The following is a 24,940-nucleotide window of genomic DNA, read 5'->3' as shown; positions in this document are numbered from 1 at the left end:
GGACAGAGCAGAAAATAAGACACAAAAATGCCTGTTACTCTGGAGCCCATATTCTAGTGGGGGAGGACACATCAGTCAGTGACAACCGCCACATAGACCAACCCAGATTCAAAAAACACCTTCTTGGATTCTTCCGTTTCTAGACTCTGACATCCAGCCATCTCAATATTCCAGAGAAGAGGATGAGTGTGAAGGGTGGTGGCGATTTTAAACAAGGTGATCAGGAAGACCTTGTGGATAACTTCGGGTCTGAGCACACTCCATCAGGGTAAGACATTCCCATACCTGGGGGAGGACGATCCAGGTGGAGGGAGCAGCCACTGCAAAGGCACACTGCATTAGGGGGACAGGAAGGAGGCCACCACGGCCGCGGCACAGCTAAGGGAGGATCTAGGGGGTGTGCAGTTGGGGGTTGGGGGTAGTAGAGAATGACAGAAACTGAGGTGAGGTCACAGAGACAGAAGGGGTGCAGAGACCTTTTGGCAAAGGGCAGATCCTGTGGGGCCATTGAAAAGACTTAAGCTTGACTCTGGATGAGACCGCAAACCACTGAGGAATTTTTTTTTTTTTTTTAAACAGAGTCCCCCTCTGTCACCCGGGCTGGAGTGGAATGGTGCGATCTCGGCTCACTGCAACCTCTGCCTCCTGGGTTCACGCGATTCTCTTGCCTCAGCCTCCCAAGTAGCTGGGATTACAGGCATGGGATTACACACATAGCTAATTTCACTGAGGGTTTTCAACAGTAGAGTGACATGATCTGAATTAAGTTTTCCCAAGGTTGCTTTGGCTGCTGTGTTGAGACTAGAAGGTAGCAGGGCAAGGGAGACCAGTTATGAGGTTACCGCAATAATCAGGTGAGAGATAGTAGTGAATGGAAGATGGTCAGGAGAGAGTGGGGTTTTGGACATTTTTCGCAAGTAGAGATGGCAGGATTTGCTGATGGATTTGGATGTGGCTTGTGCGGAAAGAGAGGAGTCTAGGAGTTTCCATGGTTTCCGGCTTGAGCAACGAAAAAGATGGAGGTGTCATTCACTGAGATGGGGGAGATTCCAGGATGGGCAGATTTGGAGGGGAAGGGTAGGAGTTTGGTTTTGCACATGTTACATCTGAGCTGACTACATACGTATTCAAGAGGAGATGAGTAGGCAGTTGTGTGTGAGTCTGGAATTCAGGGGAGAAGTCTAGTGTGAAGATAGCAATCCGGGAGTGTTCAGCACACAGATGATTTTCAAAGCCAGGAGACAGGATGGATTCCTTAGGGAGTGAGCAGAGATGGAGAAGAGGAGCCGGCCAAGCCTCAGTGTGCTCCAAAAATTTAGAGGACAGGTGAAGAGGGAGAACTGGTAAAGAAGACTGAGACTGTGTGGCCCACGAGGTAGGCAGGGGGAAAAGCAGAGAGTGCTGTGGCCTGATGACCTAGGGGAAGGACAGAAGGATTCTGAGTCCGGAGCTTTACCTGGGGCTAGGGAAAAGTTTCATGTCATCCTGCCTCCCTACTCCTTACCCCCCACTCAACCCCAGGGCTGAGAGGAGGTGGCCAAAAAACGGGGCTGGTTTAACCTGGGAGCATCACCCTTGCCTCTCATCAGCAGTTCCTGCTGGCTTGCCCTCCAGAACATCTCTCCAGTCCAATCCATCCACCACCCACCCTATCTACCTATCTACTGCTACCACCCTGCTCCAAGCCATCATCAGTTCTTGTCTGGTTTATGGCAGTACCCACCCCCAACCTCAATTGCTCTTCCTGGTTCCTGTCTTATCCCCCTACAATCCATTCTGCACTCAGAAGCCAGAATTTTCAAGACGCAAATCTGATTGTGTTACTCCCACCATACCTACACTTGAATTCAAACTCATTTTCAGGCCAGCACAAGCCTCTGCATGCTCTGCCTGTGGAACTCCACTCCTTCCCGCCCTCCCTCTTGCCTGCTGCTCCCTGGACACACTTCCTCCAGCTTCTCTAACAAGCCCAGGGAGCCTCAGAGCCTTTGCACTTGCTGTTCTTGCCACTTGGAATGTCTTTCCTCCAAATCACTGGCTGGCCGACTGCGTGATGTGGGTCTCTCCGCTCTCACTGTCTGCCTTTTTTTGAGGGGCGGGGGGATGGAATCTTGCTTTGTCGCCCAGGTTGGAGTGCAGTGACATGATCTTGGCTCACTGCAACCTCCGCCTCCCGGGTTCAAGCGTTTCTCGTGCCTCAGCCTCCTGAGTAGCTAGGACTACAGGCAGGCGCCACCCCACCCGGCTAATTTTTTTTTGTACTTTTATTAGAGACAGAAGTTCACCATGTTGGTCAGGCTGGTCTCAAATTCCAGACTTCAAATGATCTGCCCGCCTCAGCCTCCCAAAGTGCTGGGACTACAGGCAGGCGCCACCATACCCGGCTAATTTTTTGGGTTTTTTTTGTACTTTTATTAGAGACAGAATCTCACCATGTTGGTCAGGCTGGTCTCGAATTCCAGATCGCAAATGATCCGCCCGCCTCAGCCTCCCAAAGTGCTGGGACTACAGGCAGGTGCCACCACGTTTGGCTAATTTTTTTTTTTTTTGTATTTTTAGTAGAGATGAGGTTTCACCATATTGGCCAGGCTGGTCTCAAACTCCTGACCTCAGGTGATCCACCTGCCTCGGCCTCCCAAAGTGCTGGGATTACAGGCGTGAGCCACTGTGCCCGGCCTGTGCTTTATTTTCTACGTTACACTTATCACTGTCTGATCTTATCCTGTTTTTTTATTTACTTGCTTTTGGTCTACTCTACCCTTACCTCCCAGGAGAGCAGGAACTTTGTTTGAATCGCTCATTGATGAAAGCCCAGTGCCTATAATGGTGCCCAGCACATGGTGGGTGTTCAGCAAGCATTTGTGCAAGCAATCCACATAGAGCAGGTTCTGAGGCAGCTGCGGAGAAGGCAGGCTGGGAGTCCTCTGTATCCAGGCCATGGGTCAGGCGTTAGGAAATGTCTGAAGGGCAGGGAGACCTGAGGATGGTCCTGGGATGGGTGACTTCTCTTCGCCCATCCGACATGCACTGCTTACTGAAAAAGGTCCAAGGCTGTCTGGCACAGGCCCCCCATCATTTTCTCAAGCTGCAACAAATGTCTCCAAAACCTGGACAGGCAGACATCTAGGCAGGGCCTATTGGTCTGGACATCTCAGAACCTCCCCAAATTCTGCTTTCTTCATCGCCATCAGGTTTCCGTAGCAACCAGAGGACTTCACAGGAGAGAGTGAAGGGGAATTAAGAGCCAGAGAGAGCAGAGGAGAGAGGAGGAGTAAGTGGTAGCAAGACAGATGGGGAGCTGGCAGGAACTCCAGGGGGATCCCCAAGTCCCATGTTGCCGTGGAGGGTTGTGCCAATAGGTCCCTTTGGTTGCCCCCTTCCCCATCTGGATCTCTTGCTGACCCTCAAGAAGTAACTGTCCATCTGGGCAGGCCCCAGAGCTGACCCCTCATGCAAAACCCACCCCCTCCCTGCTGGCAGGCCCTGAGCGAGGCTCCGGCTCCCTCTGCGGTCTAGCTCCCTCCCTAGCCCCTCTCTTGGCAATAGTGGAACTGGCTGCAGCCCCTGGGTGGGTTTGGGGAGCGTTTCCTGCCATTCCTTCCCTGGCCGTGTATGGAGCAGTGGGTACTGGGGGAGGACAGTCAGCATTCTGCCCTGCTGACCAAGGTCCCCACCATTGGCATTTGGAGATATGGCCAGGTCCCCCAGTCATGAAGACTCAGATGGGCTGTAGGTAAGGGCCTGGCTGGAGGTGCTCAGAACAAGGGCCCAGGCCTGGGCATGGCATTCAGGGAGCACAGAGAAGCCTGAATAGAGCTCTGGCCAGTGTGCTGCCTCGCATTCCCTTGACCCCATAGGTCCGGAAGATGCCTGGCTTGGGACCCGAGAGTGGCAGAATAGCAAAGCCTGCAGCAGCCACAGCACTGTGGTCCTGAGACCCAGGCCAACTTCCTAGAGGACTGGTCGGTGACTTCAGAGGGTAGGGGTGGCCTGGGCCAACACCCAATTCCAGCTGTCCCTCTGCCCCCATACATGCAGCCCCCCGAAAACCCAGATTCCAAAACCACCTTCTTGGACTCTTCCCTGTTTCTAGCTTCTGACATTCAATCATCTCAATATGACAAATATCACCAAGTCCTGCAGAATATTTCTTCACAAAGAACTGCCCCCTGTCCCATCATAAAGACACCTGGGCCACCCCATGCTCTTCCAACCCATCTCCCTGCCCAGTCTCTCCCTGGGCTTTTTCTATACCCTCCCCCTCCCGCCCTCTGCAAGGAGCCCTTGGTAATGAAGAGCAAACTCATAAAACATTCATCCTGGGTAATACACCATGTAGGAGCTGCCTGATCTCAGTTCTGATAGAACAGGCCAGGTCAGCAGGACGCTGGGGCTTAGGCTTCTGAGGGTTTGGGCTGACTTCTCTACCTTGGGCTCAAGTTCCAGCCACTTCCCTTAAGGCAGGTCTTATCTTCCCTGGGGTGCTGGGGGTGGGGGCTCCTGAGCTGAGTGGCAGAGGGGGTTCCTGAGAAGGGATGAGAGCAGCCCAGGGAGGGAGGGTGGCTGCTAGGGGTGTCCTTAAATGAGGTGTGATGGGTAGATGGGGCTCTGGGAAAAAGAGCTTGACGACAAGGTGAGCCGAGTGACCAAATGGCTAAAGCCACAGCTTTGTGCTGAGTGTGGGGGGCGGTCAGAGCCTAAGCAGGTGGTGTTTAAAGTTGCTATTTTGGCCTGGGCAACCCTGGTATGAGTGTGTACGAGTGTGTGAGGGATGAGAGAGTCTGGTATCGGTGGCAGGCCCTGTGCAAGAACCCGGCCCCAGGAAGCAGGCCCCCATCTGGGCACTTTCATCAGACCAGCGGGGTAGGTAGACAGAGGGAATGGAAAGCAAAGGGGATTTTCCTTGTTTTCACTCCCCCCCACCCCTGGCATTTGCTCTGACACTGCTGTGGCATCCTCCAGGCCTCAGCAGAGTCAGAGAAGGAAGTCAGAGGAATGGCCACAGGGACAGCCAGAAATCAGAAGTGGCTTGGTGTGAGGGTGAGGGGCAAGGGCTTTGGAGTCCAGCAGCCCTGAGCTTGAACCCTGGCTCTGTCACTGCCTGGTCATTTAATCGGGGCAAGTCAGCTCACCTCTCCCAGCCCCCACTTCCTCACCTGCACAACAGGGAATCACTCCACCATAGGAGTTGCCAGGACTGAGTTAAAATGAGTGTGTCGAGTGTCCAGCGGGTACCTTAACAATGCTTCCTAACAGTGATGGTGGCTACTGCCGGGAAGGAATCTGGGAGACGGGGTGGGCCACCTGAGCCAAGTCCCTGGGAGCCCAGGTTTGCACAGTGGCATCATCAGAGAGCCACCGAGGAGCAGAGTCTGTAAGGAGGCTGCTTCCCTGGGGAAACAGCTCTGGCAGCCGAGGGCCTAAGGCAGCCAGGAGGCTGGGAAAGAGGCTGGGCAAGGTCCCTCATGCACACCGAGACTGGCTGGCCTCTCCCCATCCCTTCCACTCATCCAAGCAGGTGTGGCTGCCAAAGGCCCCGGCCCCTGAAGGCCTGGGAGAACTGAGATGGACGGATGATGTGGTGGCTGCAAGGGGATGGTTTCCCTGCTTATCCCGGGGGCCAGTGTGCACGTTCTTGCCTCTCTGTCCCTCAGGCCTGGCTTTGCCTCCCACCCCTCTCACTCCAAATAAGCCCAGGCAAATTGGCGAAAAGTCAAGCCTGAGTTGCTGGAGTTGGGAAAAACAGAACAAGAGAGAAGCACTGAGAACACAGCTGACATTCAAGGCTCTGACCTTTCCTCTAGCCAAATGCGAAGGCTTTCCTTTCCCTAGTGCCTTGCGTTGATTCACGAAGGGTTTACTGAGCACTTCCTACATGCCAGGCAGTAGAGTGTTGGGAAGCAATGGTGCACAGGTTGGATAGATCCCTGACTCCTAAGGCCTCCCATGTAGCAGATGGCCATGGTTAGACAGGCCTTCCTGATGAGGAGTGGGGAAGGCTGAGACAGGAAGAGCAGGGTTTGTGTGAAGACGCTGGGGTTTAGGGGATGGGGGCAGGAATGCTGAGTGTGCTGGCCATGGCTGGTTTTTAGGCAGCTGAAAACTGGTGGAAGACAGGACCCTGGGCTGGTTCTGCTGGAGTTCAGCTCCACTTGGCTCAGTCCCAGTTGAATTCCATGCACACTGAGTATTGAATTACTGGAGAGAGCAGGGTGGATGTGGCAAGGTCCCTGCCTTCAGGCTGGCCCATGTATTGGGCTTCCCAGAGTAGTGAACCTGAGTCTACTACACAACATGGCGCAGGTAACACGTGGGTTAGCACCAGGCACTGTGCTTGCGTGGCTCACAAGCGCCTTCACAGAGAAGACAGACGAGAATGGAATTGCTGTAGGATCCTCCGGGAAACTTGTCTTTTCTGAACCTTAATTTCCTCATCTGGAAAGTAAAAGGTTTGAATTAGATTATTTGCTTAAAAATTTTTTTTAGCAACAGAAACTTTTTTCCTGAGCAAAACCTGTATGGAAGCCTGTTTTATAAAATAGACTTAAACAATATTTGCTTTGGATGCCTCAGGGATTGGGGTCCCTTCAGCTTCTTGTGCCTGGTATCTCAACTGCAGCAGGTGGTAAAGGAGATGAAGGGTCTGAACCCTTCAGAACTCTCTTGGGCATCCAGGAGAGGATGATAGCCAGGACCTACCAGAGAAGAGATGGGTGGGCTCCAGGCCGGCTGCCCAGGGTCAGCCCCTGGGCCTCGATGGGAAGGTGCTTCCAGGACAAGGAGCCCAGCTCTGCTCCCTCTCAGAGCACCTGGACTAGTGGGGTTGTTCCCACTGCCTCCCAGAGAGGCTCCTGACTCTTCCTGCACTGACCACTCACACCCAGGGATTATCCCAACCAGAAACTTCCATTTGGAACAAAGCTCCCAGGAATGAAACCCGAGCTGCCACTAAGAGGCTCCCAGGCTAACTGGGAAGTGGCTGGGAAAGGGAGGGAAAACTTGCAAAGCACTGGGAGCCTCAGGGAGGCTGTGAAACCTGAAGACAAACGACCAGCCAGCGGACTGGTGCTGCGGAGCTGCCACCGCCTTCTGCAGAAAGGTCAGGGCTGAGCAGAGTGGGAAAACGGGGGTGGGGGAGAAGTGAACCCCAGGCTTTCTTTGAGGGGAGAGTAATTGGTGCACCTGTGGCTAGGGCCTATATCCCCTGTGAGGCCCTCAGGGCTGCAGTCACTCAAGCTCTCAAGCTGTCCCCTCCCTTCCCCTCTTCCCCCGACCCCTCTCCCAGCTGCTTCCACTTACTCCAATGGGCTGCTGGAGCAGTCAGTCATGGGGCCGCCAGCAGCAATGGGGGCCTGCACCCGCTCAGCCAAGGGAGGGCAGAGGAGAGGAATAGCCATGGTGACCATGTACTGAGCACCCACCAGCTGCCAGGCATGCTGAGTGTGTTATTCTGATCCTCACAATAGCCCTGCAAGGTCAGAACTACTAGCCCCATTTGACTGAAGCACTTTGCCTGAAGCGCTAGAGCTAGGCAGTGGCTGACTTTGGACCTGAACCCAGGGCTTTTGCACTCTGAAGTACTCATGCACCTTCTGCCAGGCCGCATTCTGCACACTTGAAATCCTGCAGAAGAGCCCAAGAACCGTGGTTAATTTCAAAATAAATTCTTTCTTCCCCTTCAAGCCATTATGTGAGACAAAGGCTAGGAGTGGTCATTTGTCTAGCTGGGATCCTTGTGACCTTGGGAAAGTTTTTTCACCTCTCTAGGACTCAGTCTCCTCATGTGTAAAATGGGATTCACAATAGTGCCTACTTATAGGTGGAAGGCCAACAAGAAAGCACACCCAGTAGTCAAAACAGTGCTGGGCACAGCATCCACTCAGTACTTGCTATGAGGGTTGTTGTTTGAAGAATTCCTTTTCCCCTTTTCCCCTTTTCCTAGGCAGCCCAGAGCCCTCAGAGGAAGCCCTCAGCAGGCTGAGTAGATTATCTTAAGCTCAACCCCTTCCCTGCCTGCCTCCAAGGATACAGATGCAGGTTAGAAGGTGTCTCAGAGGGGGTATGGCCTTTGAGGTTTCCAGGGATCTAACAGGGAAACTTCTGCTGCAGAGCAGCTCCAGGCCCTCCAGCGCTGACCCACCAAATTTTGCTGCATCAATGTGCTTCGCTGAGCTGTTATGTGGCCCTGGCGTGGCTCTGAAGGCCGACTGAGAATCCCAATCCATCTAGGAGGATCCTTGGAATTAAGCCAACTGGGGATGAGGGCAAAGAGAGGTGGTTGGGATGGGTCCCAGGGGCAGAGGCCTCCCTGTGCTACTGCTGAGTGGGCAGCAGCTTTGGATTCTGAGAAGGGGTCATTTTGCTGGTGCTAAGGCCGGGAGCTTATTCTGATGCTGCGGGCTCTCTGACTGGCCTTTCACCTGCAGCCCCCAAGCTCAGGCTTCCCAGAATGACCATCCTCCGGGGCTGGCACCAAGAACTGGCTCTGTGCCGCAGTTAGAGAGAGACCCTGCTGGTCCCTGCTCACTTCCTCAACATCTCAGCAGCTCAAGGCCAGGCCTCTGGCTGCCATTCGTGACTGGGGCCTGGGTTAAGAAGCTTAGGACACTATCTTCAAGACAAATGTGAAGTAAACTTGGGTGGTGATTACACTTGACCTGTGTAAAGTCAGCGAAAGTAGCAACTGAAAGGGGATAGTGGGCTTGGCTGGAGGCAGCTCCCAGCTTGGGGACTGCTCCAAGTAGAATGTGGGGCTTGTGAATGATTCTTTCCACTCACATACACAGAGCCCTAGGCTCCATTCCACTTCTCTCTACAGAGAAACCAATGATTCGTTCTTGTTCCCAGGGAGCTTGCAGTCTAGTAAGAGAAACTACATACATAAGTTATGGTTGAATGTCGAAGAGGCAATTACAAATGGGCATATTTTTCAGTTTTATTCCAGCTATTCAGTGCAGTAAGTCAGATAGTATCACTACCCTAAAGATAAGAAAACCAAGGCATAAATGCAGTATCAATACTGACACTAAGTCCACACTATATAAATGTTTTAAGCTAAGTGCTTAGGTACCAAGACTACTACTGTATGTGTGTGTGGTGAGAGGTCTATATTATGTTCACACAAATATTTTTTAGTGAGTGCCTTGGGTTTCAGGCACTGTTTATGTACTTTACTTATTTAATTTAATTTTTTTGAGACAGAGTCTCACTCTGTCTCCCAGGATGGAGTGCAGTGGCGCAATCTCGGCTCACTGAAAACTCTGCCTCCCGGGTTCAAGTGATTCTCCTGCCTCAGCCTCCCGAGTAGCTGGGATTACAGGCGGTCACCACCACGCCCAGCTAATTTTTGTATTTTTAGTAGAGACGGGGTTTCACCAGGTTGGCCAGGCTGGTCTCGAACTCCTGACTTCAGGTGATCCACCCGCCTCAGCCTCCCAAAGTGCTGGGATTACAGGAACGAGCCACCACGCCCAGCCTATACTTTCTTTATTTTTATTTTTATTTTTATTTTTTTTGAGACAGAGTCTTGCTCAGTCAGGCTGGAGTGCAGTGGTGCAATCACGGCTCTCTGCAGTTTCCACCTCCCAGGCTCAATCGATCCTCCCACCTCAGCCTCCCGAGTAGCTGAGACTACAGGTGCATGCCACCATGCCCAGCTAATTTTTGTATTTTTTGTGGAGACAGTTTCACCACATTGTCCAGGCTGGTCTTGAACTCCTGGACTCAAGTGATCTGCCTACGTCGGCCCCCTAAAGTACTAGGGTTACAGGTGTGAGCCACTGCACCCAGCCACTTTATTTCTTTTTTCTTTTCTTTTCTTTTTTGAGACAGTCTCATGCTTTCACCCAGGCTGGAGTGCAGTGGCAGGATCACGGCTCACTGCAGCCTTGATCTCTTGGGCTGAAGTAATCCTTCCACCTCAGCCTCTTGAGTAGCTGGGACTGCAGGCATGCACCACCACCTTCGGCTCATTTTTTATTTTTATTTTGTAGAGATGGAGGCTTGCTTTGTTGCCGATGCTGGTCTCAAACTCCTGGCCTCAAGTGATCCTCCTGGCTCCTAAAGTGCTAGGGTTGTAGGCATGAGCCACTGGGCCCAGCCATACTTTATTTCAATTATTCCTTCTATTGACCTTCTAATGACCCAGTGTGTTAGGTATAAATATTCCAGACTTACAGAAGAGGAAATGAGAGTTCAGATAATTAGATAACTTCTCCAAGCCATACAGTTGGTAAGTGACCAAGCCAGGATTTAAAGCTAGATTTGTTGATGCCAGTCTCTTTCCACTCTGCAAAGCACAACAATAACTAATAATGCCAAGCAGAATGTAATGACAAAAGTGACCCCAGACAGGTGCCAAACGGTGCTAGGGAATTTCTGTCAGGGGAGAGTTCCCACCTGATGAAAGGAAGTGGCACTGAGGAACAGAGATTTACTTGCCCAAGCTCATACAGCCAATTAATTAGGAGTTAGAAGGTTGGGCGCAGTGGCTCACACCTGTAATCCCAGCACTTTGGGAGGCTGAGGCAGGCAGATCACTTGAGGCCAGGAGTTCGAGACCAGCCTGGCCAACATGGTGAAACCCTGTCTCTACTAAAGACAATACAAATATTACCCGGGAGTGGTGGCATGTGCCTGTAATCCCAGTCATTTGGGTGGCTGAGGCACAAGAATTGCTTGAACCCAGGAGGCGGAGGTTGCAGTGAGCTGAGATTACACCACTGCACTCCAGCTTGGGTGACAGAATGAGACTCTGTCTCAAAAACAAACAAACAAACAAACAAACAAAACCCATAATGACATAAGTAGGCTGAAAGTAAAAGGATAAAAAGTAATACAACATGCAAACACTAAGATCCGGGTGTGGGCTCACATATGTAATCCCAGCACTTTGGGAGGCTGAGGCAGGCAGATCACGAGGTCAGGAGATCAAGACCATCCTGGCTAACATGGTGAAACCCCGTCTCTACTAAAAATACAAAAAAAAAAAAAAATTAGCTGGGTGTGGTGGTGGGCGCCTGTGGTCCCAGCTACTCAGGAGGCTGAGGCAGAAGAATGGCGTGAACTCGGGAGGCGGAGTTTGCAGTGAGCCAAGATTGTGCCACTGCACTCTAGCCTGGGTGACAGAGCGAGATTCTGTCTGAAAAAAAAAAAAAATATATATATATATATATATATATATATATATATATATATATTTTAAAGTTAAAAACCACAGAGAAAGAAGTTAGAGACACAGAGAAAGAAGTTAGAGATAAAATTCAGATTTCCTGACCCCAAGATCAATACCAGTTTTTTGTAGGGCCAAGAAGAACTTTGAGAGGATGCCACCTCAGCTCTGTTTTGTGAAAGCAAAAATTCTGAAGTCTTTGAAAGTCTCTCAGAACCTTTGTGAAATTTAGATAAACTAAGAGCACATACAAAAAGTGGAGAGGAAACTGACTTCTCCCTTTGGGAAACCAGAGCAGCAGCAGCACTTTCTCGCCTTTCTAGTGGGGCAGCATCCCCTTCCCTGTCCCAAAACTTTGGGGGCTCCTTCTGCCATCATTCCACTACAAAGCATCCAGAAGAAAAATCTCTAAACAAAACCAAGGAGCATATCAAGTCACCCGCAGGCTCAAAAATCTCGTTTCCCTCTGCCCACAAGGTAAAGTTCAAATTCCTGAGCTGGGCATAGGGAGTCCTCCACAATCTGACCACAACTTCTCAGACTTACCTCCATCCGCATTTTTTTTTTTTTTTTTTCAGAGACGGAGTCTTGCTCTGTTGCCCAGGCTGGAGTGCGGCGGTGGCGGTGCGATTTCGGCTCACTGGAACATCCGCCTCCCGGGTTCAAGCAATTCTCCTGCCTCAGCCTCCCAAGTAGCTGAGATTACAGGCATCCACCACCACACTCAGCTAATTTTTGTATTTTTAGTAGAGACGGGGTTTCACTATGTTGGCGAGGCTGCTCCTGAACTCCTGACTTCGTGATCCGCCTGTCTCAGCCTCCCAAAGTGCTGGGATTACAGGCCTGAGCCACCATGCCCGACACCACTTTTTTTTTTTTTTTTTTTTTTTCTGAGACAGAGGCAGCTATATTGCAGGAGCCCAGAACTCCTGGACTCCAGTGATGCTCCCGTCTGATCTCTCAACTAGCTGGAATTACAGGTGTGAGCCACAGTGCTTGGCTTCCTTCCTCTTTTGTGGAAGGTTCTAGTGATGCAGAACTTTTTAACATTTCCCAAATGCTACATGCTTTTCCATGCATTTGTTTTTTCATGTGCTGCTCCCTCTGCCTAGTGAACTCCTACATACCCTTCGAGACCTAAACTTTTCTACCCTCTATTATGTCTCCCAGGCAATCCTCTGGGCTTATACATTATTCTATTTACAACAGTGAGTTGTAACTTCTTATTTGTAACTATAATGTTTCAAGTAGCCTTGGAATATAGTAGGTGCTTTATAAATTTTGGTAAATTAATGAATGAAGTTGCCATTATGGGGCAAATAAGAGGGCTGCAAACATTATCTGGGGAAACTTGGCCAACCAGTCCCCAGAGTTCTGGACCCTTCTAAGATTAGAGATAGTTTGAGAAAAGATAACAACAACAAAAGCTACATACCATTTATTAAGTGCTTACTGTCTACTAGAGTTGTTCTAAGCCTTGGTACACTTCATCTCATCTCATCCTCATAATAGTACTATGAGGTAGTTATTACCTTCATGAGGGTTTTTTCCCCTGAATACATTATCTTCATTTTACATTGGGGAGACTGAGGTTCAGAAAAGCAAAGGAATTTCTTCCTTCCAAAGTTTTACAGCTAGGATTTAAATCCAGATCTGGGCCAGGCACAGTGGCTCACACTTGCAGTCCCAGCATTTTGGGAGGCCAAGGTGGGAGAATCACTTGAGGCCAGGAGTTCAAGACCACTCTGGGCAACAAAGTGAGACCCCGTCTCTACAAAAAATAAAAAATTACCTGGGAGAGGTGGTGTGCACCTGTAGTCCCAGCTACTTGGGAGACTCAGGTGAGAGGATCACTTGAGTCCACTGGATGACAGAGCGAGACCTTGTCTCTAAATAAATAAATCCAGATCTGTTGGCCTTTCAAATCCAGGTTTTTAACCCCTAAGCTTTTCTGACTCTGAATTATCGAAGTGTGAACTTTTTCTTCTATATCATGGGAGAACCAAATCCCATTGCTCCTTCTGCCCAGTCTTGGAAACTCCATTGTCAGATGGGTCCCAAACTGTATGGCAGGGGGACTGGGATTACCCAGACAGGCTGGGAGAGATCAGAAGTTCCAACCTGATCTTTGTGCTGAGATCTTGACCTGCACCCTTGGTGGGGTGGGGGGGTTACTAATCATTTACTTACTGCTTATGAACTCTGCCACCCCTGGAATGGCCAAGGTGCAGCTAAATTAGCAAAAAAAAAAAAAAAAAGTGGGTCTGAGATTGGCTGGGGTTCACCTCTTCAGGTTACAAGGCAGTTTGTTAGGAAAATAAAACCCTTCATTGGAAGCTCAGAAGGACTTCACTTTGAGGGTTGAACCCAGGTTCTAGCCTGGCTTTTGTTACTAACCAGCTGTGACCTTGGGCAAAGGGCTTAACCGTATAAGCCTTTGTAAGTGGGCAGGAAAATGGGCAAGAACACAATGCACTTAGGAAGAAAAGGGCCAGACAACACCCAGAGGATGGGAATCTGAGCCTCCAGGAAAGAGGCTCCAGAGATGCCAGTCAGTGGCAGCGTCCCAGTGTGCTGGGGGGAGTGAGAGGCCACTTAAGAGCAGCCACCAAATGGGAGAGGAGCATGGGAATGGGAGAGGCAACCAAAGACAGAGAAAGCATTCTCCTCTCCTCTTGTGGGATGCCAAATTAGGTCCTATCAATCTCTCTGGAATGTCCAGAGGTGGGCATGGGGAAAGTCCCACCTTCAGGAAAAGCCGACCTCCCCCTTTTTTGGGCCTTCTTGTACCCAATACATACTTCTAGCTCGGAAGTGTCTTCACTGCCTTCTATTTAAAATGTCGATCTTCTTAATAGAAAGTGAATTTCTTGAGGGAAGAAAACGTAACTTATCCATCTGTATTCCTCAGCTGCTACACTGCCCGACTGCCTGGTACCAGTAGAGACTACATAATTGACTGATGGAAGAATGAAAGAATGAAGGAAGGAAGGAAGGAAGGAAGGAATGGAAATCCGATGATTAGGCAGAGGTCCAATGTATGTCAGAGTAGAGTAAATCTTTAAAGCTCATTACAAAAAAGGAGGTCCTATTTGGGAAGTAGAATCCCAAATGACATAGGGAATTTGGGAGCAGAAGAGCCAAGGAGAGCTGAGAGTACCAATACACGTGGTCCCTAGGGCCACCAGTGGCCACAGAATTCTTGGCTGGGTAGGCTATTGCTTAAGCTCCTTAGAGAAGATGTAAAGACAGGTGGCACACAGAGATTGCACACAGAGCTCTCATTCATTGTCCTTAGCTAGAGTCACCATATGGTTTATACATATTTTCCCAGGGTGATTATTAATACTTCAAAAGTGTCAAAGTGGGAGGACTGCCTGAGTCTCAGAGGTCGAGGCTGCAGTGCGCCATGTTTGGGTCACTGTACTCCAGCCTAGGGAGCAGAGTGAGACCCTGTCTCAAAAAAAAACAGTGCCTCAGTCCTGGTTTGGATGACAAACTTTTTTTTAGGTGGTATTTTTTTCCTCCATCTTTTCCATTTTTGTTGTTGAGATATAATTCACATACCACAAAATTTACCCCTTTAAAGTACATAATTCATACTTTTAGTATACTGAGAAACTTTTACAATCAACAGTATTATTTAATTCCAGAACATTTTCATTTATTTATTTATTTATTTATTTATTTATTTATTTATTTTTGAGACGGGGTTACTCTGTTGCCCAGGTGAGAGTACAGTGGCGTGATCATGGCTCACTGCAGTCTCTACCTCCCAGGCTCAAATGATCCTCCCGCCTTGGCCTCCTGAGTAGCTGGGACTACAGGCGCAAGCCACCATGCCCAGCTAATTTTTTTTTTTTTTTAAATTTTTAGGAGAGTCGAGGTCTCACTATGTTGTCCAGGTTGATCTTGAACTCCTGAGCTCAAGCGATCCTCTCATCTCAGCCTCCCAAGGTGCTAGGATGACAGGCGTGAGCCGCCACGCCGGGCCAGAACATTTTCTTTACCCTACAAGAAACCCTGTATCCATTAGTAGTCACTCCCTATTCCCTGGCTCCCCAGCCCCTGGCAACTGCTATTTTCTGTCTTTATGGATTTACTTATTCTAGACATACAAATAAAATTATACAACATGCAGCCTTTTGAGTCAGGCTTCTTTCACTCAGCATAATGTTTTCAAGGTTCATCCATGTTGTAGCATGAATCAGTACACAGGACAATAAATTTTTCAGCCACTCTGTGTATAGACCTTAATATTTTATCTGTTATATTGTGGGTGTTTCCCTGGAGCCAAGGAGGAATTGAGATAGGGAAGCCAGGCTGAGATTCTCTTACTGGAGAGGCCATTCTGTTGACTCAAGGCACAGAAACACTGGTGTGGGGATGAGGCCAAGGAGCCTGATTTAGGATTCTAGACTCTTGTGTTGGAATTTTGTATTAGCTTTGAGGTCTTGTCTTCCTGATAGTAGTTACAGACAAATGACAACAGTCTAATCTACTGCCAGCTTCTTGGAGCAAAGGAGCAGTCAATGAATTAATAGAATGAACCAGGAGAAAAATGAATCAGAGACTCTACATTTGAGCCTTTGCTCAGCTACTGGCTTTGAGTGATTTAGGTCCCTTTACTTTTTCTAGTCTCTGTAAAATGAACACAGGAGGCTGGGTGTGGTGGCTCACGCTTGTAATCCTAGCACTTTGGGAGGCCAAGGTGGGTGGATCACCTGAAGTCGGGAGTTCGAGACCAGCCTGACCAACATGGAGAAACCCTGTCTCTACTAAAAATGCAAAAAAATTAGCTGGGCGTGGTGGTGCATGCCTGTAAGCCCAGCTACTCGGGAGGCTGAGGTAGGAGAATCGCTTGAACCCAGGAGGCGGAGGTTGCAGTGAGCCAAGATCGCGCCATTGCACTCTAGCCTGGGCAACAAGAGCGAAACTCCATCTCAAAAAAAAAAAAAAAAAAAAAAGAACACAGGGACAAAGAGAAAAATCCCAATGCCATCATTAGGTGTTAAGACACTTCAAAGAATCACTCAGTATTAAAATGTTATGGATGTTTCTACAGATTCATGTCTACTTGTTTCATTTCTTTTTTTTGTTTGTTTTTGAGACGGAGTCTCGCTCTGTCGCCCAGGCTGGAGTGCAGTGGCGCGATCTCGGCTCACTGCAAGCTCCGCCTCCCGGGTTCAAGCCATTCTCCTGCCTCAGCCTCCCGAGTAGCTGCGACTACAGGCGCCCGCCACCACGCCCAGCTAATTTTTTGTATTTTTAGTAGAGGCGGGGTTTCACTGTGTTAGCCAGGGTGGTCTCGATCTCCTGACCTCATGATCCGCCCGCCTCTGCCTCCCAAAGTGCTGGGATTACAGGCGTGAGCCACCATGCCCGGCCTACTTGTTTCATTTCTTCTAATGGATGGAGTTCCTAGGGCCAAGGGCCAATTTTTATACAATTCTGTCTGTCCTACAATACCTGACACAAGGCCTTACACATATAGGGGCCCAGTGTGTATTGCAAAAAAGAAAGAAGCCTGACTAAGTAACATTCATTAGTGTGTGGAAGTATTTCCTCATTTCCAGAACGATCTGGCAAGGACTCTGAGGCTAGGGTGAGGGGCCTCACACTTCTACCTCAGGCAATCAGAAATGGTTTTGAGGTGCCACTAGATTCCATACCAGGAGGGAGGCCACCGAGCAGCAGGGCCTGGGAGTTGGCAGTGCTGGAAGGCTGTCCTCAGGGGAAAACCGAGGAGGACAGGCGTGCTAGCCAGGCCTGCTGCGCTGAAAGCAGCAGACGGGTAATTTCCAAATGACCATTTCAAAGGAAGGTTGAATTTCTCCAAGATAAGAGGGAGAGCAGAGAGCATGCCTGTATCTCTAACCCCCTGAGCTCATGGCCGTGATAACAGCTGTGGGGTTGGAAACTTAATGCTGATGAAAGAGTTAAAGGGTGGCTTCGGGCAGCTATCGGTGACACTGCTAGGAATTGAGCATGCTCCTGGAGCGCGGCTGGGGACTGGTGTTACTCCATGAATAGAGGCCACTCTCAGGGAGTTTTTCCAGGAACAGAATGGGGTCAGGGAGCCGCTTGGGGAACAATGGTTGCCACCGACTAGCTGAATTTCTTACAATCACACACCATACCCCCTGATCAAATAGCTCCTTTGTCCGGCTGATATAAAAACATGTCATACAATGATGATTTGGAAGAATGACACGGGTTTGCCTTTCACAGAGATCAGAAGGGCTTGTTGTGCAGCAGGGGGAAAAACATCAGAGTCAAGGAAAACCTGGAGAATAAAAGGAACAAATGGAAACAGACAGCAACAATAAGAAAAGGGCTGGGTTGCTGGAAAGACAGACAAGGGCTTGGTTACCAGCAGGGAAACCAAGCAGCCAGGCAGCTCCAAGGAAAGGCCTGCTGGCTGCCCAGTAACCAGTTTCACAGCGCCCCCTTGAAACTCCTGAGAAACTCAAGGAGGTAAAGAAATAACAAGAAGAATGGCCTCAATTGGCTAGTGAACGCAGGGCGGTATACACAGCCCATAGGAAACGTAAAGGGACCTGAGAGATCATCCTGTCCAAACCATTATTTTATAGATGGGGACACTGAGGCCTGGGGAAGGACGGTGGCTTTGTCATCTACCCAGATTGTCTAGGTTCAGGTCTTGTTTTACAACTGCTTCTTCTATTTCTTGACTTTGAAGATGGAAATGCTGGAACTTCTCAAGCACTCTCTGTTCAGAGAATAGAAGAGATGAACATTAGGGGTTGAAATGAGACTCCTGCCTGAACCAGGGATTCCAACAAGGAACTCAAGCAAAGTACTGCACTTCTGTGTGCCTCTGTTTCCCCATCTATAAAGCGGGGCCACTCCTGAAAGCAGGCAGGTAGCCAGCCACAGGCTCAGTCATCATTTATTAAATGCCTTCTGTGCATCCCACCCTGGAAGAGGGCACTGGAGAGAGGAAGCAGGGAGCCTCGCTGAAAGATAAGACACAGTCACTGGACCCAGCCAGCCAGGCAATCTAGAGAGACTGTGTGGACACCAAACCCTGATTCTCAGCTGAGGCCTGTAATTGAGGTGGGCAGCTTTCTTGTCTGTTTCAGGACGGTCAGACTGACACTTTGTTGTTCAAAGACAGAAGGCTCATATAGCAAGATTCCTGCAGCTTCCAGTCACCAAGTAGGTTTACAGAGAAAATGACGATTGTCAATGTCACTAATTAACATTCACCTCTAGTACAGCAACTGTAAGTGGATCCCAAGCCTTTATATTAGATTTCCTTAGAACTATGTGGGGTTAAAAAGCAAGAGTATTTTGTGTTAATATATTCCCTTTTATTCACAGATCCGGAAATCCTTTACCAGCAGATAGCCAGTTCTCAATGCTACCCCTGTGGGGAATGTGGCAAATGCCACTCTCCTCGTTTTCCAGCTGGGAGGCCTGGGTCACAGAAAGGTTCTAAGTCCTGCAGTGGGGGAGGGAATGCAAGTCTGTCACCCTTTCCTTCACCACTCTGGCTTTGGACCAAAGAACAAGGTGCTGGAAGGCAAAACTGAAGAGTAAACCAACAATGGATGTGGTAAACTTCTGTTACTGGAAAGCAAAAATGCTTTCATATATATATTATATACATATTGTATATATAATACATATACACATATTGTATATATAATACATATATACATATTGTATATTATATACATATCATATAATATATTATATACATATCACATAACGTATTATATACATATATAATATATACATATTACATATTGCATACATATTATATATAATGTATATTATGTGATATGTATATTGTATATCATGTATATGTATATGTATATGTATATATGTATATGTATATCATATATATCATACATGATATATAATATATATTTTATATATTATATACTATATTATTATATATAATATAGTATATATTTATATAATATATAATATATTACATATATTATATAATATATATTATATATTACATACATATATATTTTATATATATATTTTTTGAGATGGAGTTTCACTTTTATTGCCCAAGCCGGAGTGCAGTGGTGTGATCTCAGCCCATTGCAATCTCCACCTCCTGGGTTCAAGTGATTCTCCTGCCTCGGCCTCATGAGTAGCTGGGATTACAGGCATGCACCACCACGCCCAGTTAATTTTTGTATTTTTAGTAGAGATGAGGTTTCACTATGTTGGCCAGGCTGGTTTCGAACTTCTGACTTCAAGTGATCCACCCGCCTTGGCCTCCCAAAGTGCTGGGATTACAGGCATGAGCCACCGCGCCCAGCCATGCTTTCATATTTTAAAAATTTTGCTTAAATAGATCATATGTTTACATGGTACTTCAAAGGGTACAACAGAATATTGTACCCCTCGCAATCTCCCTGCAACCTCTGTCTCTACACACAGCATTTCCTACCCTGGAGAAGACCCAGTTATCAGGTTCTAAGAACAATTCCATGTAAAGTCATATGATGTTCAGTCAACGACAGCTGCATATCGGATGGTGGTCCCATAAGACTATAATACTGTATTTTTTACTGTATACCCTTTCTGTTTCCATATATTTAGATACACACATATTTGTCATTGTGTTACAGCTGCCTACAGTATCCAGTACAGTCACATGCTGTATAGGTTTGTAGCCTAGGAGCAATAGGCTCTACCATATAGGCTATGTATGTAGGAGGCTGTACCACCTACGTTTGTGGAAGCACACTCTGTGATGTTCACACAACAAGGAAATCACTAATGATGCATTTCTCAGAACATATCCCCCTTATTAAGTGACACATAATGATATTTATAAATACAAACATAAAATACTTTTTCTTGCTCACATATGATATATAAACTATTCTGCACATACAGAACATTTTAAGATGCATATGAAATGAACAGACACTCAGGGTTGAGAGGACTATGGGAGCCCAAAGTTTGGCCCCAGGTTGAGGAGAGAATGTCCGCCACACTCAAAATGAGTTGCTGGCTTGCTGTGCTCTCCTTTACAGAAAGCCACTCATAATACCAGAGGTGTGGTGTATGAGTTCCTCTGAGCTCCTCTGTTTTGAGACAGGGTCTTGCTCTGTGGCCCAAGCTAAAGTGCAGTGGTGTGATCACAGCTCACTGCAGCCTCGACCTCCCCAGGTCAAGCAATCCTCCCACTTCAGCCTCCCAGAGTGCTGGTATTACAGGTGCCCACTGTGGAGGGCTCCTGTGAGTTTCTTAAAGAGAACTACCCCCAAATGAGGGTGGTTGTGGTCTCACACAATTATTTTCTACATAAAAAATAGAAACTCAGGCCAGGCGCAGTGGCTCACACCTGTAATCCCAGCACTTTGGGAGGCCGAGGTGGGTGGATCACCTAAGGTGGGGAGTTCAAGACCAGCCTGACCAACATGGAGAAACCCCGTCTCTACTGAAAATACAAAATTAGCTGGGCGTGGTGGTGCATGCCTGTAATCCCAGCTGCTAGGGAGGCTGAGGCATGAGAATGGCTTGAACCCGGGAGGCAGAGGTTACAGTGAGCTGAGATCACGCCATTGCACTCCAGCCTGGGCAGCAAGAGTGAAACTCCGTCTCAAAAAAAAAAAAGGAAACTTAGCCAGAGTTTAAAAATAAGAGGTCAGTGGCATCCCACCCCAGAGTCTTCCCTGCAGCAGAATCTCCTGTGATCTTCATGTAGGAATTGAGAGCCCTTGGATGTGATGTGTCCTACATAGGTTTCAGAGGTAACATTTGAGTGCTTACTGTATGTTGAGCTTTTAAAAAGTGATAAGCTCTTTTCATACATTATTTTGCTTAATCCTCATGGCTGTTATCTCCATTGTACCTCTGTGGAAACGAAGGCTTAACTAATAAATGGCAGAGCTAGGAAAACTTGACCTTTGGTCTGTGTCCTACCTTCACACTGAGTCCCATGAGGTTCTTGCCTCTGTCTAGTACCCGAAGAATTAAATCCAAACTCCTGAGCCTGGAATTTCAGCCCCTTGACCATCTGTACACATTTCCCTCCCAGGCTTCTGTCTTCTTGCTCCTCGCCATGCATTGCATGCTTGAGTCACACCAGATCACTCGCTGTCACTGGTCCTTGTGTTCTTCCAGCCTTTTGCACGGGCTGTTCTTTCCCCATGGAATCTTTTTCTCTCCTCTCTGCCTGGCAAGCTGCCAATGTGATTTTTTCCTAAAACTCAATCTGACTGTTACTTCCCTGTTTAAAGCCTCTCTGTGTTTCCTCACCGCTTTCCGTGATCAGGATGAAGTTTCTTAACTTCACACAGAAGATCTTCAAGTTGTGGGTCCTGCTGACATTGCAGGCTCACCTCTCCCACTTTTGGCTCCTGCTTAATCCTCCACACCTGATCTACTTGGAGTTCCCTGAGTGTTTGGGGCACTCGCTGTTCCAGGCCTTTGCACAAGCTATTTCTTTCCTAGAACACTCTTCGCACCTCCTTCACTTGGTTAATTTTTACCTGTTCTTATCATAGCTTGGGCGACATCTCCTCAGAGATTTTTTTCCCTTACCCTTCCAGCATATCTGTGCCCTCGCTCCTCCCCCAAGGTATCTGTTTTAAAATATATTTTTTCTATACTATGACTTCCTCAACATCAGTGACCAAATCTAATTAATGTCTGGTTTTCCAGAGCCTCCCATAGGGCCTGGTATCCAGACAGTCTCAAGAAATAAGTGATGGGCTGGGCATGGTGGCTTACGCCTGTAATCCCAGCACTTTAGAAGGCCGAGGCGGGCGGATAGCTTGAGCTCAGGAGTTCAAGACCAGCCTGGGCAACAAAGCAAGACCCCGTCTCTACTAAATAAAAATAAAAAATTAGCTCGGTGTGGTGGCATGTGCCTATAGTCCCAGCTACTCAGGAGGCTGAGGTGGGAGGATGGCTTGAGCCCAGGAGATCGAGGCTGCAGTGAGTCATGATTGCACCACTACACTCCAGCCTGGCTGACAGAACAAGACCCTGTCTCTAAAAATAAAATAAAGTTAAAAGAAAGGAAAAGAAATAAAATGGGCACGGTGGCTCCTGCCTGTAATCCCACCACTTTGGGAGGCTGAGGTGGGTGGATCACTTGAGCCCAAGAGTTCATGACCAGCCCAGGCAACATAGTGAAACCCTGTCACTATAAAAAATACAAAAATTAGCCAGTCGTGGTGGTTGCATGCCTGTGGTCTAGCTACTCAGGAGGCTGAGGCAGAGGATCGCTTGAGCCTAGGAAGCAGAGTTTACAGTGAGCCAAGATCATACCACTCCACTCCAGCCTGGACAACAGAGTGAGACTCTTGTCTCAAAAGACAAAAAATAAAATAAAATGAATAAGTGGTAAATGAAAGAATTAATGAATGAATGGAAGGATGAGCTAGAATTTGGAGCCCCTAAATGGAGCCTGGGTACTCAGTCTAACTTCAGACCCTTCCTTTTTTGCCAGCTGCCGGATAGTCTCACCATTACTCCCGTTATTTGGAACCTCTTCACTGCAACGTGACCTTGTTTATGTGAGTTTAGCTCTCTGAGACTCAGTTTCCTCAAATGCAATATGATAAGGTAGGAGTATCTGATCCCTACTGTCCCTTCCAGATAAAATATTATGCAAATCCATGCTGTTTGTAAAAAGGAAGGAATTTTCCAAGCACTGTATGGTGGTGTGTGGGGAGAGCACCAATGGTATTGGTGGTTGAAAGAGATTTTCAGAGACTCCAGCTCAACTCTAACTTGTGGGTTAGTAAACTATGGCCTGGAGGCCAAATCCCATTCACCACCTGTTTTCATATAGCCCACAAATTAAGAATGGCTTTTACACTTTTAAGTGATTGGGAAAAAATCAAAAGAAGAACAATATTTCATAATGTGAAAATTATATAAGATTCATATTTCAGTGTCCATAAGGTTGCACTGGAACAAAGCTATACTAATTGTTTACGTTATTGTCTATAGCTGCTTTTTTACTACAACAGCAGAGTTGAATAGTTGCAACAGAGACTGTATGGCCCTCAAGCCGTAAAATACTTACCATCTGGCCCTTCACAGAAAACATTTGCCAACCCTTGTTCTAATTCGAGAATCCTTAACGGCTTCCCACTATCTACAATGGCACTATCCAATAGAAATATAATGTGAGTCACATAAGCAATTTTAAATTTCCTTTCTTTTTTTTTTTTTTTTTAAGAGATGGAGTCTCACTGTGTTGCCCAGGCTGATCTGGCACTCAGCAATCCTGTTGCCTTGGCCTCCCAAAGTGCTGGGATTACAGGTATGAGCCACCACGCCCAGTTCATTTTATAGACTTTTATTTTATTTTGAGATGGGTCTTGCTATGTTGCTCTGGCTGACCTCAAACTCCTGGGCTCAAGTGATCCTCCTACCTCAGCCTCCTGAGTAGCTGGGAATACATGCATGTGCTACTATGCCCTGCAAATAAACATGATTTTAAAAAGTAACACTAATAATACATCTTATTTAACCCAATAAACCCCAAATGTTATCATTTCAAAAGTAATCACCACAAAAGTTATTAATGAGATATTTTACATTCTTTTTTTCACCATGTCTTTAAAATCTGGTGTGTATTTCATGCCTACAGCACACCTCAATTTGGGCTAGCCATATTTTAAGTGCTCAGTAGACACATATGGCTTGTGACTATTATCTTTGACAGCTCAGAGCTATAAGATGAAGTCCAAACTCTTTGACGTGAAATTCTTTGGCCCTTTGTTGTTTGGTTTCAGCTTCATTCTTAACTGCTTCTTTAAATGCCAGCCAGACTGACCCATTCTATGCTCCCTAAATTAGATATGATACCACCTCTACTTCTTTGCTCCCTCCTTTCTTTCTTTGCTTTCTTTTTTTTTTTTTTTTTTTTTTTGGTAACAGCTTTATTTGGATATAATTCACATATTTGGCTGGGTACATTGGCTCACACTTGTAATCCCCAGCACTTTGGGAGGCTGAGGCGGGTGGATCACTTGAGGCCAGGAGTTTGAGACCTGTCTGGGCAACATGGTGAAACCTTGTCTCTACAAAAAATACAAAAATTAGCTGTGCATGGTGGTGTGCGCCTGTAGTCCCAGCTACCCAGAAGGCTGAGGTGGGAGGACTGCTTGAGCCTGAGAAGCAGAGGTTGCAGTGAGCCGAGATTGTGCCACTGCATTCCAGCCTGGGCAACAGAGCCTGGGCAACCCTGCCTCCAATAATAATAGTTCCATACAATTCACCCATTTAAGGTGGGTTTTTTGTATATCCACAGCTGTGCAACCATCACCACAAGAATTTTAGGAATATTTTCATCATCCCCCAAAGAAACCCTGGACCTTTTTAACAGTCACCCTCATTCCCCTCAATGTCCCCCAGCCCTAGGCAACCGCTAATCTATTTTCTGTCTCTATGAATTTTCCTATTCTGAACAGTTCACATGAATGGAATCCTACAATATATGGTCTTTTGTGACTGGCTTCTTTCTCTTAGCATAATTTTTTCAAGGTTTCTCCATGTCGTAGCATGCATCAGTTCTTCATTCCTTTTTACTGCTGAATACTATTCCATTGCTACTTCCTTTCTGATATGTTCATGTCCTCCAATAACATTCCTTCAAGAAATTGAACTCCAGGGCCCCAGCAAAAACCCAAGAAGGAAAAAAAAAAAACCTGCCCTTCCTAGTCCACAATGTCTAAGATCAAACACAGGATCTGATCAGATTTTTTAGAGGAAAAAAGATAAAGACTGTGAAACAATTACATTAGTAAC

General features: G+C 47.5%; 1 long non-coding RNA gene across 5 annotated transcripts in view, besides 1 other annotated feature; it reads left to right on the top strand.

The window, feature by feature from the left end:
* The window catches only part of LOC105378458 (uncharacterized), a 31,140-nt gene that overhangs the window by 185 nt on the left and 6,015 nt on the right, over positions 1–24,940 (top strand). For 2 of the 5 annotated variants that reach the window (XR_946258.2, XR_946254.2), the window contains exons 2-3: positions 144–268; positions 580–619. This is a non-coding gene — a long non-coding RNA (uncharacterized LOC105378458). Of the gene's footprint in view, positions 1–143; positions 269–579; positions 620–3,191; positions 4,464–22,628; positions 22,745–24,940 lie in introns of those variants that run through there. The other 3 variants (XR_946257.2, XR_946255.3, XR_946256.2) reach the window with 3 other exon arrangements.
* Positions 8,363–8,864: an enhancer, noted in NCBI's record as "H3K4me1 hESC enhancer chr10:103517739-103518240 (GRCh37/hg19 assembly coordinates)". NCBI's record gives its function as "activates a minimal SCP1, AML or CMV promoter by ChIP-STARR-seq in naive H9 embryonic stem cells {active_cell/tissue: H9 hESC(naive)}" and the evidence as "EXISTENCE:reporter gene assay evidence [ECO:0000049][PMID:30033119]".

The sequence above is a fragment of the Homo sapiens genome, chromosome 10, assembly GCF_000001405.40.
Source record: "Homo sapiens chromosome 10, GRCh38.p14 Primary Assembly".
NCBI classification, from domain to species: domain Eukaryota; kingdom Metazoa; phylum Chordata; class Mammalia; order Primates; family Hominidae; genus Homo; species Homo sapiens.
The sequence above is the reverse complement of the archived record's forward strand: the minus strand, read 5'-3'. Positions and strand labels throughout refer to the sequence as shown.